Source organism: Homo sapiens, chromosome 2 (assembly GCF_000001405.40).
Source record: "Homo sapiens chromosome 2, GRCh38.p14 Primary Assembly".
Lineage (NCBI taxonomy): Eukaryota > Metazoa > Chordata > Mammalia > Primates > Hominidae > Homo > Homo sapiens.
The window spans coordinates 74,409,998-74,425,776 of NC_000002.12; the positions used below are offsets into that span (position 1 = coordinate 74,409,998).

General features: G+C 52.2%; 2 protein-coding genes and 1 pseudogene across 10 annotated transcripts, besides 2 other annotated features; 1 reads left to right on the forward strand and 2 right to left on the reverse strand.

Moving 5' to 3' along the window:
• Nucleotides 1-4,179: 4,179 nt before the first annotated feature.
• On the reverse strand, nt 4,180-11,622 carry C2orf81 (chromosome 2 open reading frame 81). Of its 4 annotated transcripts, NM_001145054.2 has the most exons (4): nt 7,385-7,720; nt 6,014-6,244; nt 5,712-5,930; nt 4,180-5,621 (listed from the first exon to the last, which is right to left on the reverse strand). In NM_001145054.2, exons 1-4 carry the CDS (start codon nt 7,409-7,411, stop codon nt 4,332-4,334), a joined length of 1,767 nt encoding a protein of 588 aa, NP_001138526.1. In that variant the 5' UTR covers nt 7,412-7,720; the 3' UTR covers nt 4,180-4,331. The 4 variants fall into 4 exon arrangements, with proteins under 4 accessions (NP_001138526.1, NP_001303694.1, NP_001303693.1 ...); NM_001316765.2 differs by lacking the exon at nt 7,385-7,720 and adding an exon at nt 11,546-11,622 and having other exon boundaries at nt 4,180-5,930; nt 6,161-6,244; NM_001316764.3 differs by lacking the exon at nt 7,385-7,720 and adding an exon at nt 11,546-11,622 and having other exon boundaries at nt 4,180-5,930.
• On the reverse strand, nt 6,822-8,694 carry HMGA1P8 (high mobility group AT-hook 1 pseudogene 8; annotated as a pseudogene).
• Nucleotides 11,553-11,832: a silencer, noted in NCBI's record as "silent region_11659". NCBI's record gives its function as "represses an Ori minimal core promoter by ATAC-STARR-seq in GM12878 lymphoblastoid cells {active_cell/tissue: GM12878}" and the evidence as "EXISTENCE:reporter gene assay evidence [ECO:0000049][PMID:35858748]".
• WDR54 (WD repeat domain 54) lies at nt 11,733-15,758 on the forward strand. Of its 6 annotated transcripts, none has more exons than NM_001320824.2 (10): nt 11,733-11,819; nt 12,123-12,378; nt 12,873-12,935; nt 13,322-13,388; nt 13,481-13,534; nt 13,858-13,985; nt 14,878-14,978; nt 15,078-15,240; nt 15,420-15,494; nt 15,573-15,758. In NM_001320824.2, the coding sequence occupies exons 2-10, from the start codon at nt 12,157-12,159 to the stop codon at nt 15,702-15,704; spliced, it is 1,005 nt and encodes a 334-aa protein (NP_001307753.1). In that variant the 5' UTR covers nt 11,733-11,819; nt 12,123-12,156; the 3' UTR covers nt 15,705-15,758. The 6 variants fall into 6 exon arrangements, with proteins under 6 accessions (NP_001307753.1, NP_115494.1, NP_001307752.1 ...); NM_032118.4 differs by having other exon boundaries at nt 12,156-12,378; NM_001320823.2 differs by having other exon boundaries at nt 11,733-11,797; nt 12,156-12,378.
• Nucleotides 12,233-12,412: an enhancer, noted in NCBI's record as "active region_16055". NCBI's record gives its function as "activates an Ori minimal core promoter by ATAC-STARR-seq in GM12878 lymphoblastoid cells {active_cell/tissue: GM12878}" and the evidence as "EXISTENCE:reporter gene assay evidence [ECO:0000049][PMID:35858748]".
• Nucleotides 15,759-15,779: the final 21 nt, after the last annotated feature.

A 15,779-nucleotide genomic window follows, 5' to 3' on the forward strand; every position in this document is an offset into this window, starting at 1 on the left:
GGTCTCCATCTCCTGACCTCGTGATCCACCCACCTCGGCCTCCCAAAGTGCTGGGATTACAGGCGTGAGCCACCGCACCAGGTCAAAACTGCCACTTTTAAAACCATCAAATCTTGTGAGATCTCTCTCAATATCACAAGAACAGCACGGGGGAACTGCCCCCATGACCCAATCACTTCCCACCAGGTCCCTCCCTCTACATATGGGGATTACAGCTGGAGATGAGATTTGGGTGGGGACACAGAGCCAAACCATATCAATAAGTATACAAAAAAGTCTGGATTGGCTGGGTGTGGTGGCTGATGCCTGTAATCCCAGCACTTTGGGAGGCCAAGGCGAGAGTTTGAGGCCAAGGTGGGAGGCCTGAGGTCAGGAGTTTGAGACCAGCCTGCCCAACATGGCAAAACCCCGTATCTAGCAAAAATACAAAAAATTAGCCAGGCATGGTGTTGGGCACCTGTAATCCCAGCTACTCGGGAGGGTGAAGCAGGAGAATCGCTTGAACCCAAGAGGCGGAGGTTGCAGTGAGCCGAGATCGCGCCACTGTACTCCAACCTGGTAAACAAGAGCGAAACTCCGTCTCCAAAAAAAAAAAAAAAAAAAAAAAAGTCTGGATTATGTAAAGTATAAAAAATAGTTGTTGTCACATATGAGTTTACAGTATTGTTTTTAAAATGCTAAAACTATTTTGAAATTAAGACTCACTCAGTGGGAGGCCAGCCTGCTGCATGGACTGCTTCCAGCACTGCTCCTTCTCTCCCCAGAAAAAAAAATTAATACAAAATAAAATTTAAAAATTACAAATTACAAATGAGAAACTGAGCAGGTGGTATTTAGCCAAAATTTGCTGGAAAGAAAATTATTCTTAAAGAAGACAATGGACTTTAAATTTGCAGACAGTGACATAGAGACCAAAAGTGTTCTCTGCTCAGTTGGAGAGACTGATCCTCACAGAGCAACATCAGTGCAGTCACAGAGATATGTACAAGGGGGCTAATGGAGCCCCATAAATAGGGGTGACTGGGGGAGGTGAAGGTTGGGGAAAGATCCACAGCAGAGGTGATATCTGTGCTGCGTCTTGGCAGGTGAACTAAAGTTAGCCAGGCCAACATGATGAGAAAGGATATTCCAGATAGAAGGAACCGTATGTGCAAAAACACAGCCAGAGGGTGAAAAAAAACAGACCGTGGTCCAAGAGCTGCAGATTGTCTGGCTGGAGACTAGGAGGTGGGTTAAGGAAGGGCAAAAGGCAAGGCTCTTAGTCAGCAGAGGGTTTTTTTTTTTTTTTTGAGACAGAGTTTCACTCTTGTTGCCCAGGCTGGAGTGCAATGGCGCGGTCTTGGCTCACTGAAACCTCCACCTCTCGGGTTCAAGCAATTCTCCTGCCTCAGCCTCCCGAGTAGCTAGGATTACAGGCATGCACCACCACGCCCAGCTAATTTTGTATTTTTAGTAGAGACGGGGTTTCTCCATGTTGATCAGGCCGGTCTCAAACTCCCAACCTCAGGTGATTTGCCCACCTCAGCCTCTCAAAGTGCTGGGATTACAGGCATGAGCTACTGCACCCAGCCTAGCACACAGCCTTCTAAGTGTAGAGAAGGGGCTTAGAGTTCATCCTACAAAGGAGAGGTTACCTTCAAAGGATTTTAAGCAAGAAAGTGTCATGATGAAAGGTGATTACTCGATGTGGCAGTGGGGAGAATAGATTAGAGAAGATGAGACAGGAAAGAAGTTTAAGAAACTGTCACTAAGCAAGATGCAGATAGTGTCGTGACATGTTACAATTTGTGGAAAGGGACAAAAACAATCATACTTGCAGGTGCATAGAGTTTTGCCTTTGTTCACTTTCCAATTGGGATTAATTTAGTTGACTGCTAAAGGATACGTGAGACTCCGGCAACAGTAGTTGCCTCTCAGGAGGGGAACAGGTGGCTTATGTACCAGAAGAGAAAAATAGTTTAAAAAAAAAAACCCTCTGTATCCTTTTGTACACTTTCAATTTTGTACTTTGGATATGTATTACCTGACCAAAAGAAAAATTGCTTTTCTTTTAAGGAGGCTATCACATTGCAAGGGGATGAGTAATTAAAAAATAATAATAATAATAAAGGGGCTATTATACAATCTAGGAGAAAATGTCAGAGAGAATGTTCCTGCCACCCACTCCCCGAAACTTTCCCTGGAGGAGCCAAACTTTCTCAATCAGAAAGGGCCTCTTCAAAGGACTTAGGCCCAAGGCAGTAATGTATCAACTGTATCATCTGTATGGCCTACACCTCTGGCCGACCCTGAGAACAGAAACTGAGTCTTCTTGCTTTCTCTGTTTCTGGTGCCTAGTGTCCCCCTCAAGAAGCCTTCATTGCAAAAACTACTCTACTGGTCTGGCTAGAACTAGGGGATGGGAGAAGGAGGTCTGGGATCTCATATCCCCTTGCTGATTATATTTTGGGCTGAATGATTCTTCTATCAGCCTTCTAATACTGACTTGTGCCAGCTGGGCTTCCCTGATGTGTGACACAAAAAGTGTGTTGGGTCACCACTCAGCAAACAGCTGGGTGCCAAGAGGCAAGAGGTGGTCCTGGGAGACAGTTACTAGAATGCCAGGGGTATAGGGAAGAGGGCAGCACAGAAGGTGCCCATCCTTCCTTACCTTGGAGTAGATTTGTGAGCAGAAAGGGCCCAACATAGTTAGTGACAAAGGTGAGATCCAGGCCCCCTGGGGTAAGTGTCTTCGGAATCCTGGGAGGAAATGAAAACACTGGCATTGAGTGATAAAGGGACCACCTTGAGGGAGACAAGGTCTGGGAGGGACATATTACCTTCAGCAGAAATGCCACAGGGGCACATACATGTGAAGATGGGGGCAATGAAGTTTAAGGCTATAACTCAATGTCAGCTTTTTAGGGGAGGGTATGGATTAGTGTTTTGGCAAGATTGCATAGACTAGGCTTTGAGGATACCTGTTTTAGAGTTCCTGAGCTAGAAAGGAGACTGCAGAAACATGTTTGGAGAAGCAAGCCAGGCACATACCACTGACTCCAGCATTGTTTACCAGCAGATGTATCTCAGGATTCTCCTGTAGAAGCCTCCGGGCAAAGCTCCGAATAGAGGTCATGGAGCTAAGGTCCACCTCGCCAAGCAGGAGGCGGTTGCTGTTTGAGGCTGCTTGGATCTCAGCCAGGGCTTGCTGTCCACATTCCCTGCTCTGACAAGTAAGGATCACTTGGGCCCCACACCGAGCTAGGTCCTGGGATACAACCTTCCCGATGCCTGTGGGAGGACAACTTCGGCTGGGTGGTGACTACAGTGAACAAGGGACACTCTAGGGGAGGGACAAGGGTGTTGATAGTGGATGCTCCTCCCTGCCTTCCCTGTGAGAGTTGTTGGAGGCTGAGGCCCATAGTGAGGATTCAGGGTGGGAGGAGCACTCACCACTGTTGGCCCCAGTCACTATGGCTATTTTCCCAGTCAGATCTGTGGAGCAGCACTGGAGGTCCCAGGGATGAGACTTCTGCCAGAGCTGCACATGTAGTTGAAGAAGACCAGAATAAGGAAGACAGAGCCAGCGCCCCAGACCAGGATGCTGAGTGCAGCCCACAGCAACATAGCAGAAACTTCCTGGGCCTGCTGGGGAAATGCTGTAGGAGGAAGTGGGTGCAGGATAAATCTGGGCAGAGTGGAGACTAGCAATGAGGCAGGTGTGGAGCCTAAGATAAAATTTAAGGAGGCACTGACTCTTGAGTTTGTTCAATATACTGTTTGAGTTTGAGAGTTCCTCCTTAACTTCAAAAGTGAAATTTGGATTTGCAGTCTAAGGTGAAGTGACCAAGCTCCAGGGACCAGGGAAGCAAGAAATCAAGTTCTTCATATCTCGAATCACTCTGTGCTTATGCGGGGCCTTCTCCTTCCTCCCCTACTGAAAGGAGACTCGAAGTTCTCTCTACAGAGCCAGACCCGCTGGCAGCCCTTATGTCTACTCCTTTGGGGGACAGGGGTTTCTCTAGAATGCCTCTGCAATGGGGCAGCTTTGGCCCTAATGCAGGGTCTCCTAAGGGTGGCGAGAGGGTTATTTCCTGAACCCTGGTTCTATCTTCTTCTAGGCCTGCAGGATAACTGCTCCCCTTGGGGTTCAGTGAGAGGGTGGACACCCTTGGAAGAAACTGACAAGAGACATCAGACTAGTTCCTAAGGCAACTCAGGTGTTTATTTCTGGCTAGCAGAGGGAGGGACCAGTTACTACTGCCAGAGGCTCAGGGATCAGAGGGAGGCAGCAGGCTTAGAGGAGCGTGACCACACTTTGGGGGCTGAGTTCTTCATTAGCTGTGCTACGGTCACCTGGGCTTTGGGGCACCTGTCTGGATGGGATGTTGCTCAACGGGAGGAAAGGTGCTACCTTCTTTGTCCTCTTGTTCAGGCACACCAGAGCTGAGCAACACCTGGGTGCTCCGGTTCCACATGCTCACACCAGGGGCCAGCTTCAGGGCTTCTGGCAGCAACACGGGCTTCCACATCACCTGGGAAGTGGCTTCAAGGACCGGGGGTGTGGTTCGAGGCCATCTGCCAGGATCCTGGCCCTCCCTGTCTGCCAGCTCCAGACCCTGTGGAGGCACGCGGGTCCGGCCAGCCCACAGCTCGCCCAGCAGCTCGGCCTTCCCCTCCCAACCGCTGGGCCACCTGACACTGGGCCACAGCTTGGGGCTGCGGCTGCGGGCCACATCAGGGAGCACCGGGTGTGTGGTGAGGAAGCGGATCCTGGAGTTTGGGAGTGGCAGCTTTGACTCGAGGGATGGCGACGATAGGCCTAAATTTAAAGTGGGGAACAGGAGTGCGGGGCCCGAGTCCAAGTCACGGAAAGGAATGCCTGGCCGGAGAGGGAAGAACGCTGCCGGGGAGACACGGGTGCCGGGGCCGAGGGCTTGGGGTTCGGCCCGGGCCTTGGTCTTCTCGCCCCGCTGGCGTCCGCGGTAGGCTTCCAAGGGGCGTGTTTGAGAGTCTGGGACCAGGACCTCAGCCAGAGGGCGCACCCAGTGGCACGGGAGCCTCGCAGGGTCCAGGCGTTTCACGGCCGCCTTGCGGCGCATCCTGTGGTGGTGGGCGCTCAGCCGCACATCCGAGTGCCCGGCCCGCTGCTGCTGGCAGGACGCGGAGGGGCGGGTGGCGCCGCCCACAGAGGGGTAGGACACCAACACGCCCGAGGCGATGCAGGGCACCCCCTCTGACCTGAGTTCCAGCCGATCCCCAGCCGCGTCCAGTTGAGGCATGCAACAGTAGAGGTCTTCCAACGACAAATGGAAGCCGAGGGGGTGTCCCCTCCCAGTTGAGGCCTGGGGGCTGGCTACCAGGTACGGATCCAGAGAAGGGTCGGCATCGTCGGCAGGCGCCTCCTCCACCGACAGTTGGAAGCTCGCGCTCAAGGACCCGGCCGAGGAGAGGCCTCTAGACTGGCCGTCCGCTTCCTCTACAGGACCTCCGGGCCCTGCCTCCTGAAACAGCTCTGATGTGGGAGGAGGGGCCGACGTGACTCTCAGCTGCGGAGAAGGCTCCCAAGATTCCATCTGCTCCTGGGAGCCTCGACCCATCCACGACCTTCCTAAAGGGATCCGGTCCACGCCCCCAGGGTCCTGGGGAAATGCACTCGGGCAGTGAGATGTCGGAAAGGGGAGAGCAGGAGCAATGGCAGAGGAGTCCGGAGAGGCTCCTGAGGAGTGTACTTCGCCTTGGAAGTTCTCCAGGCCCTCCGAGGTGGACGCGTGCAGCACGGGCACTGAACCCTGAGCCCAGGAGTCCGTCGTGCATGCCGAAGGCTCCTCGTCCTCACCCCATGTGGGGTCCTCAGCTACTGCAGATTCTCCCTCGTCCCGGGCCAGGAAGCGCCACTCGGTGATCTGCAGCATGGCCTCCCGGGCCTGGCTGATGGTGAATGGAATGCACTGCGGAGGCGAGAGAGGATCTCAGGTCGGCAGGGAGGGGCGGGAGAGGGAGACGAGTCTGAAGGACCCGGATCCCGGCCCACCTGCTGAGTCAGGTAGACTTTGAAAGCAGAGTCCATGACTCGAGCCAGCAAGTCGGCCAAGATGTCCCCTACGACGTCCTCGCCCTCCTCGAGGGCTGTAAGCGCCATCCACTCGGCCTCACTGAGCCGCCCAGGCACAATATCCACCTGCGGCACTGGCACAGTGGGCGGCCGCACTTTTTCCGCCTTGGACCGGGTCACCCCGCGGTCTCGGACCTGCCTCTCCTGCCTCTGTGAGAACAAAACATGGCAATCAGAGCAGGAAACCAAGAAGTGGAACGGAAGAGTAGCTATAGGCTAGGAGGAAGCTTTCTCAAGTTGTCTAGTGGGAAGGAAAAGGGCCAATTGACGAAGAGCCTACTATGTGACAGATACTTAGTAGATGTTTGACCTAATAATTTTCATTAACAGCCCACTAACCACAATTGACAGATAAAGAAACTGAAGTGGGGAGGCTGAGGAAGGAGAGTCACTTGAACCCGGGAGATGGAGGTTGCAGTGAGCAGAGACTGCGCCACTGCACCCCAGCCTGGCGACAGAGCAAGACTGCGTCTCAAAAAAAAAAAAAAAAAAAAAAAAGAAAAAGAAAAAGAAAGAAAAAAGAAACCGAAGTCTGACAGAAGTTAACCAGCCTTGCTTAGGAGCACACAGTGAGCAAGCCCAGACAATGTGAAGGTTTAACTTCATGGCCCTTATACCAGAGCAAAGTGTTCAAAATTCTTGAGTGTTCAAATTACTTGAGAAAGACAATTCAGTAAACAGTCCTGGAATTATTGGTGCTATTTAGAGTCTTCTCTACATTTTGTTTTCCAGAAAAGGATTTTTTTTTTTTAATTCAAGTAATTGCAAATAGGAAACCAGAGGGGGAGCCCCAGGCTGGGACAAATCATGGCTACCCCTCCCTGACAGACCCGGGGGAGCAGGTGGCCCCTACATGCTTTATGGTGGATTTGGGCCCCCTTGCTCTCTCTGCTGCAGCATCCTAGGGGAGTAGTCAGTCACCCAGCCTGCCATGCCCCAGCCCCTCTTCTCCACGAAGAGTAACCTGGGGGAGGGGATCATGGGCAGAACAGGAGGCAATGTGGATGAACATTTGGCGCTGCTAGCAGCAGCAATGACAGATGTCAAAGAATGGAACATTGAACCAAAAACAAAACAACTGTCCAGAGGTAGTTTGTGAACAAAGGAAAAATGGAACCAGAACCTGGGGGGGTGGCAGGAGCAGGAGGGCTGGGAGTGGGAAGGGTGAGCTCCTTGTTATTGGTGCCCCATCTGAGGAGAGGAAAATGGCCAAGTGGTAGAAGCAAAGTAGGGTTGGGGGAGCAGCCCCAGCCCACCTCAGGTAGCTGCCACAGGGCTCATGGGCCTCACCTGGACAATAGGTGACTGCATCTCCATCACTGCAATATGTACTCAGATCCCAGGCAGACGGTAAGGGGGCTGGGGCCACTGCAAAGAGGGAGTAGGGGACTCACACCCCTCCCGCTTTCCTGTAGCCAATGGGGGCTGTCCAACCTAGTGCAGGGACTAGGGAAGGTGGGGAAGGATGAAAGGTGTGAGCCTCACGTGGTGACAAAGACAGTTTGGCTGGGGGAATCCTGGGGGCCAGCACCCCCCTCCATTGGCCACACCTGCTGCTGCCAGGACAGTGGAGTGGGGTGTGCCAGAATGGGGGCTTGGGCCCCTTTTAAGACCAGGGGAACCCTCCCAGGCCCCTCTATGGGAAGCCAGAGGCAACAGTGGAGGAGCAGAGAAGTGGCTCCCAAACCAAAAGCCCAGAGAGCAATGTCACCACCAAGGGATCAGGGACGCAGCAGGTGCAGGGTGCGGCTAAGCAGGACATTAGCCTTGTCCAGGAGGGCACATGTGTATGAGTGGGTGGACGGGGGGAGGAGGGGGTAGGGATGGGAAGAGGCCAGGGGAAAAGTCCTCTCCACTCAGCCCATAGGGACCTGCAGCGGCTGGTGTGTTGTGTAGTGTGGTGGTGAAGGTGCAGGTGGAAGATGAGGGTGGTGGCTGGAGGCGGTGGTGATGGTGGGTGTAGGGAAGGGGTGGGGGGTGGGAGGTGGGGGGTTGGGAGCAGATCAAAGCTGTCCAGTCCCAGAAGGAAGCTGCTCCTCCAGTGAGGACTCCTGCGAGATGCCCTTCTCTTCCTCCTTCTCCAGTTTTTTGGGTCTTCCCCTTGGTTTCCTTCCCAGAGTTGTGGTGGTTTTCCCGGTCTTGGCAGCACCCTTGTTTTTGCTTCCCTTTGGTCGGCCCCGAGGTCTCTTAGGTGTTGGCACTTCGCTGAGCTCCTTCTGACTCCCTACCAGCGCTGTCCTGGGACTCACCGGAGGCTGCTTGCGCGGCCTGCCACGGCCCCGCTTCTCAGTGCCGTCCTTTTTCTGCTTGGAGGCCAAGGGCTGGCTGGACTTCGAGCTCGACTCGCTCATCTTCCCTTCTCTAAGGACTAGTTGGAAAAGTGATGGCTGGGATGGGCGAACTCGGCCGCTGGCCTGCGGTGCATGCTCCGGTTTGCCGGGAGCAGCGGTGCTGGGCGCTGAGGACAGGCCAGTCTCCACCGCAGCCGCCCCTGGTCGCAAATGCGGATGCCTTCCTGGAGCCGCGCCAGCGCCAGAAATAGCCCAGGCTCGGAGTCCCACTTAGAAGAGCACAGCCCCGGCTCAGGGGAGCTTAAAAAGTTCTCTACATTTTTTTTTTTTAACCAACTATTCTTATCTCCATTTTATGGTAATTTACCCAGTATCATACAAGTAGGATGTAGTGAAGTCAGAATGCATTCACATGCAAGTCTGTCTGACTCCAGAGCCTCTCAAAGACATTTGCAACAAATATGAAAAAAGATAAATATCCCCGAGTAAATTAAAAGCTCATATAAAAAAAAAAATGGCCGGGCGCAGTGGCTCACGCCTGTAATCCCAGCACTTTGGGAGGCCGAGGTGGGTGGATCATTTGAGGTCAGGAGTTCGAGACCAGCCTAGCCAACATGGTGAAACCCCGTCTCTACTAATAATACAAAAATTAGCCAGGCATGGTGGTGGGCGCCTGTAATTCCAGCTACTAGGGAGGCTGAGGCACGAGAATCACTTGAACCCGGGAGGCAGAGTTTGCAGTGAGCTGAGATCATGCTACTGAACTCCAGCCTGGGTGACAGAGCGAGACTCTGTCTCAAAAAAGAAAAAAAAAACTAATAAAATAAAAAATAGAAGAAGAAAAATGGCCAGGCACAGTGGCGCACACCCACAGTACCAGCTGCTCGGGAGGCTGAGGCAGGGGGATTGCTTGAGCCCAGGAGTTCAAGTCCAGCTTGGGCTATATTGCAATAAAAATTTAAACTATAAGAAGAAAAACCATTTAAGATCCCAAAGATAAGCAAAGGACATGACATTTCACAAGAGAGGGACTGTAGATGACTAATAAATATAGTATTGACATTCTGATTTCTAGTTCATCAAATTGGAATTATTTTAAAAACAAGAATACTCAGCATTGGCAAAGGTTTAGTGTGATACCATGCTGCAACAGTATGCATGAAGACATTAAAAAATGTTTTCACTTCCTCAACCCTGCAATTTCAGTTCTATAAATACAACCAAAAGGCATTTTCTGAAATGAAGATAAAAATATATTCTCCAACAAATTCTCTGCGGTATTTTTATAATAGCAGAATATTGAAAACATGTCTTTAAAAAGAGAATAAATAATTGACATGCTATATATACTGAAATATTATGCAATGATTAAAGGTAATCTTTTTTTGTTTGTTTGTTTTTGTTTTTGAGACGGAATCTCGCTCTGTCACCCAGGCTGGAGTGCAGTGGCAAGATCTCGGCTCACTGCAACCTCTGCCTCCCAGGTTCAAGCAATTCTCCTGCCTCAGCCTCCGGAGTAGCTGGGATTACAGGCGCCTGCCACCAGGCCTGGCTAATTTTTTTTCTATTTTTAGTAGAGATGGGGTTTCGCCATGTTGGCCAGACTGGTCTTGAACTGGCCTCAAGTGATCTGCCCACCTTGCAGGCATGAGCCACCAACCCAGCCATTAAAGGTAATCTTTAGAAAGAATTTGCAATGGCATAAAGCAAATGTTTATGATGTAACGTTAATTGAAAGAAGCAGGATACAAACTTACACATCAATTATGATCTCATATATGTAAACCACTATGTGTTCAACAAAAGGAAAACTTCAAAATGATAACAGAGGATACGTTTCCTTCCTATGCTCTTTTCTATTTTGTAAGTTCTCTACAATGAGTTTGTTTCCTTTTGTAATCACTTAAAAAAAAAAAAAGACTAGTCCCCAAAACTCACTTTAGAGACATAAAAAGTTTACAAACAATCTCTTGGGAGCTCCCTCAATTCCCCACAACAGTCTCCCTGAACCTGGTTCCTTCCAAAATGTACTTCCAAATGTGATCTTCCCAAACCTTTGCCTATTGCCCCGCTAAAACCTTGTCTCATATCTGTTTCCTAAAATTCATTATCCCCCCAAATCTGCTGTTTCCTAAGTCTTGCAGAACTCAAAATCCCTGAAGTCTCATTAACCCTATCCACCAGTGAGAACAGCCCTGTAGCAAGCACCAGGAGTGGCCCATAGCCCAGGCCAAGCTTGACTAGAGCAGGGCTGACTGGACTGAGTAAAGAGAGTTGTTTCCTTAGACCTCCCCTCCCAGCCTCGCATCTGACACCCGTGATGGTGACCAGAAGGGACAGAGATATTTTTGCACAAAGGCTCTTCAAATCCGTTTTCTTTCTTCTTCTTCTTTTTTTTTTTTTTTTTTTTTTTTTTTTGAGACAGTCTCTCTCTGTCACCCAGGCTAGAGCGCAGTGGCGCGATCTCGGCTCACTGCAACCTCCGCCTCCCGAGTTCAAGCAATTCTCCTGCCTCTGCCTCCCGAGTAGCTGGGATTACAGGCACCGCGCCACCACATCCAGCTAATTTTTTGTATTTTAGTCGAGACGGGGTCTCGCCATGTTGGCCTGGCTGGTCTTGAACTCCTGAGCTCAGGCAATCCTCCCGCCTCAGCCTCTCAAAGTGCTGGGATTACAGGCATGAGCCATTGAGACCGGCCCCGTTTTCTTTATTTTAAAATTGATTGGCTCTTAAACAATTTGACTTTCAAGTGCAGTCTCTGAATTATTTAATATATTTCTTCCTCTTGAAATTCTCGAAATAGATTTTTTCTGTTATCTTCCCTCTCTAAATGCTCATCCATTTAAATACGCACCACCATGTAAGAGACTTACTACATTCATTAGCTGTTTCAAAATCCACTTCCTGTTCTCGGGCTCTACACCACCCACTGACCCTTTCCCTCATGGCTTGAGTGTAACAAAGCGTTTGAGTGGGCACCGTGCAGGTGTAGGTTTTCTGCCCGAGTACCGACGTGGCTTCCTTGGTCATCTAAACTCCCGCGCGGTGGGCGGGAGCAAGTAGGGGCACTGGGCGGCCCAGAGCCAGCCCACTGTTCCCGACACCGACCTTAACGGCCGACCCTGGCTCTGGCGCATCCCCAGCTGAACTGAAGCTCACCGAGCCTTCGTGCGCCATCGCCAACGCGGTCGCAGCAACGCTGGTGTTTCTGCTGCATCCGGGCCGCGTAAGCCACCTAACAGTCGCCTGGGCAACCACGGGCTCGGGGTCGCTCGCCCCGCCCACAGTTGCCCCGGCAACCGCGCCGCCCGCGGCACGTTCCGGCCGCTCACCCCGCCCAAGGGCCGTGCGTACGTGCGTCGTCTCTATGGTGGCGGCGGATTTGGAGGGACCCTACGAACCAGGAGTCAGGCGAGCCGATCTGGGGCTGCAGGTGTTACCTCTGATCTAGGCCGGGGGCTTCAGGGATCCGAGCCGAGGGAGAAAGCCTTGGGGGCTTCATCACACTTATTTGGCTCGCGGGCTTGGGGCCATCGGGTGGTCCTGTGTCATCCCCATTCCTCCTCTGCGATTCCCCCGTCGCCCCAAAACAGCCCTGGGACTCCCCTGTCTTGCTCCTCGAGACCCTCCCCCATCACCGTCCTCTGGGCACCCCATCCTATGACCCAGTCTCAGGCATCTTCCGAAATGCTCGATGATAGCCGCCCTCGGGCATCTCCGCTGCGTCTGTTTGTAGCGCGCCTGGTGATTCGGCTGCACCCCCACACAGGATGTTCCGCTGGGAGCGCTCCATTCCCCTGCGAGGCTCGGCCGCCGCCCTGTGCAACAACCTCAGTGTGCTGCAGCTGCCGGCTCGCAACCTCACGTATTTTGGCGTGGTTCATGGACCAAGCGCCCAGCTTCTCAGCGCTGCTCCTGAGGGTGTGCCCTTGGCCCAGCGCCAGCTCCACGCTAAGGAGGGTGCTGGAGTGAGTCCCCCACTTATCACTCAGGTGAGGCATGGAGCTGGGAGTGATGTTGCTGAACCCAGTCCTACCCCCAGCCTTTTCTCTCCAAACCTTCAGGAGCAGGCATGTCCTAACCTCAGAATCTCCCCAGGCATGTCCTAACCTCAGAATCTCCCCTCTCCTGCCGGGCGCGGTGGCTCACGCCTGTAATCCCAACACTTTGGGAGGCTGAGACGGGCACTTGAGGCCAGGAGTTCGAGACCAGCCTGGCCAACATGGTGAAACCTCTTCTCTACTAAGAATACAAAAAAAATTAACCGGGTGTGGTGGCGTGCACCTGTAATCCCAGCTACTTGGGTGGCTGAGGCAGGAGAATCGCTTGAACCCAGGAGGCTGAGGTTGCAGTGAGCCGAGATGGCGCCACTGCACTCCAGCCTGGGCCACAGAGCAAGACTCCGTCCCCCAAAAAAAAAAAAAAAACAAACAAACTCATCTTCCCTGCTTTGATTTTCTCCCTACACTGATGCACCTCCCTCCAGGTCCACTGGTGTGTCCTCCCCTTCCGAGTGCTGCTGGTACTCACCTCACATCGAGGAATACAGGTAAGAAGAGGACTCTCCTGCTTGCCCCACCAGAGCCTTCTCAGCTTCCCTGCCAGGCTTCCAGACTTTCCCACTTGCCTCTAAACACTTCCAGACTTTTCACATGCTTGGCCCACTCACTCTTTTTCTATTTCTTATCTTCAATCTTTCCATCTTTTCCAGTTTCCAAGTGCCACCTCCAGTATCTGCCCCTTTACTAGCTGTATGTCCTTACACTATTAACTTCTCACTCTCACTGTTGTCCTCTGAAAAAATTAGGATAAAAATAGTACCTACATCCCAGATTTGTTTTGAGGATTAAATGGGCTAAGGCTAACACGGATATGTGAAGTACTCAGCAGAGGTCAGTTGGGTTATGCCCCCTGGTTCTTGCCCCGGTCTTCCAGATGTACGAGTCCAATGGCTACACCATGGTCTACTGGCATGCACTGGACTCTGGAGATGCCTCCCCAGGTACCTGCAGGACCAAGTGGGGTGGGGGCAGGGAGTGTTTGCTAGGGCTGCAGGAGGGGATATTTCTGATCATTCTCCCCTTTCATATTCAGTACAGGCTGTGTTTGCCCGGGGAATTGCTGCCAGTGGCCACTTCATCTGTGTGGGTGAGGGAGCCAAGTGCAGGGCATGGAGGGGTGCTGGGGCATGTGGGCTGTGGCCAGGAGAATAATGAGGGCCTGAGGAAATTGTGGAAAGTTAGAGGGAAGGGTGGAAGTGGAGTGGAATCAGAGACTCCAGTAAACCATGGAAGGGTTCAGAGGGTCAGGGTGGGATAAGACAAGGCTAGTGAATGAAGGGGCATGGCCGTTGGAGCAGTGAGAGGGGGTTTTGTTACTAAGGTTTCTGGGATGGAGTAAGTGTTGAGTATGGTGGCTGGAGACCCAGGAGGGTCAGGAAGTCATCACTGGAGTACTGGTTCTGGATACAGGAACGTGGTCAGGCCGGGTGCTGGTGTTTGACATCCCAGCAAAGGGTCCCAACATTGTACTGAGCGAGGAGCTGGCTGGGCACCAGATGCCAATCACAGACATTGCCACCGAGCCTGCCCAGGGACAGGTGAGTGGACTTCCCCTACCCATCTGGGAGCCTTCCCCACCCTGGGAGGCAGGGGACCTGGCTTTGAGTCTTGGCTCTGCCACTAAACAGGTGGATGGCTTTGGGCAAATCTACATTTTCCTAGTCTTCAGCAACCAGGTTCAGTGATAAAGCCAGAGATACTTTACATTTATGTAGTATTTTATAGTTAATTAAGACTTTATAATACTGATGTGAAATGAGGAGTTGGAACAAATGGTTTCTAAGATACTTTCCAGCTCTGAAATGTGCAGCTTCCTTCTCTAGGGCAAGTCCCACCTATTCAGGCCCAGCTCCAGTGCCATCCATCCTCTCCAGGAAGCCTTCCCCATATTCTAGCTCCCACTGATGTCTCTTAGCTGAAACCTGAATTGGCACTGCCCTCAAAAGACAACTCTTGTCTCCCCAAGTAATTTGCAAACCTCTTGAGAACAGGGTGTATATTTTCTTATTCATATTCTCCATTGTACCTGGCATAGGGCTAGGCCCATAGGTTGTGTTGGCTGCCTGGTGTTGGGGGTGCAGGGGCCCAGGGTCTAGTCATGACTGTGACTGGTTCACTACGAGACCTCCAGAAGGTCACGACACTGTGGCCTCAGTTTTATCATCCATCCAGTGAGGCAATTATGCACCCCCTCCTAATGTTATTGGGGGATGGGACTCCATGAAGAAATTCAAGGAAAGCAGTTCATGCTTCCCAAGGGAACCCTGGTGGTAGGGGTGGTTTCTGATGGGTCTAGCTAGTGAGAGCTCCACACCTTGCCCTTTCCCTGGAGAGGCAAAGATGCACACACTGCCTCCCTTCCCCTCCTGCCCTGTATACAGGACCATAGCAGGGGAGAAAGGGAAGGGTTGATCTTGCCTTTCCCTTCAGGATTGTGTGGCTGACATGGTGACGGCAGATGACTCAGGCTTGCTGTGTGTCTGGCGGTCAGGGCCAGAATTCACATTATTGACCCGCATTCCAGGATTTGGGTAGGTGAGGCAGAAAGGGTAGAGGGCTTCCTGAGATAGCTTCAGGCTGGGGAGTAGGATTTGATCTGGGCAAAACAAAGTTGGGTGTCACCCTTGCAGAGTTCCGTGCCCCTCTGTGCAGCTGTGGCAGGGGATCATAGCAGCAGGCTATGGGAACGGACAAGTGCATCTATATGAGGCCACTACAGGAAATCTACATGTCCAGATCAATGCCCATGCCCGGGCCATCTGCGCCCTGGACCTGGCTTCTGAGGTGGGCAAGGTAAGTCTCCTCCTCTGTACCTACATACCCTTTTTCCTGGCAGTGGAATGTTGAGAGAACACCACAGGCTTGTCTTTGCAACTCAGTGTAGCCCCCTCCCCTGGGGCACCTGGACTGGGGATTCCAGCTTATAGCTGTCCCGTCAGGGCATTCTGACTCCCCCTCTTCCTCCTCCACAGCTACTCTCTGCAGGTGAGGACACCTTTGTGCATATCTGGAAGCTGAGCAGAAACCCAGAGAGTGGCTACATTGAGGTATGTGTCATGGGGTGGGTGGAATGGGGGGGCCCAAGCATGGGGCAGCAGGCCCTGACGAGCCCTCTGCTCCCCCAGGTGGAACACTGTCATGGTGAGTGTGTCGCCGACACCCAGCTGTGTGGTGCTCGATTTTGTGATTCCTCAGGCAACTCCTTTGCTGTGACTGGCTATGACCTTGCGGAGATCCGGAGATTCAGCAGTGTGTGAGAAGAGCAGCCTTCCTTTGTCCCTGTGGTATTCATAAAGTACCCGCTCCACCCAGCCTTTGTCTGATTACTCAGT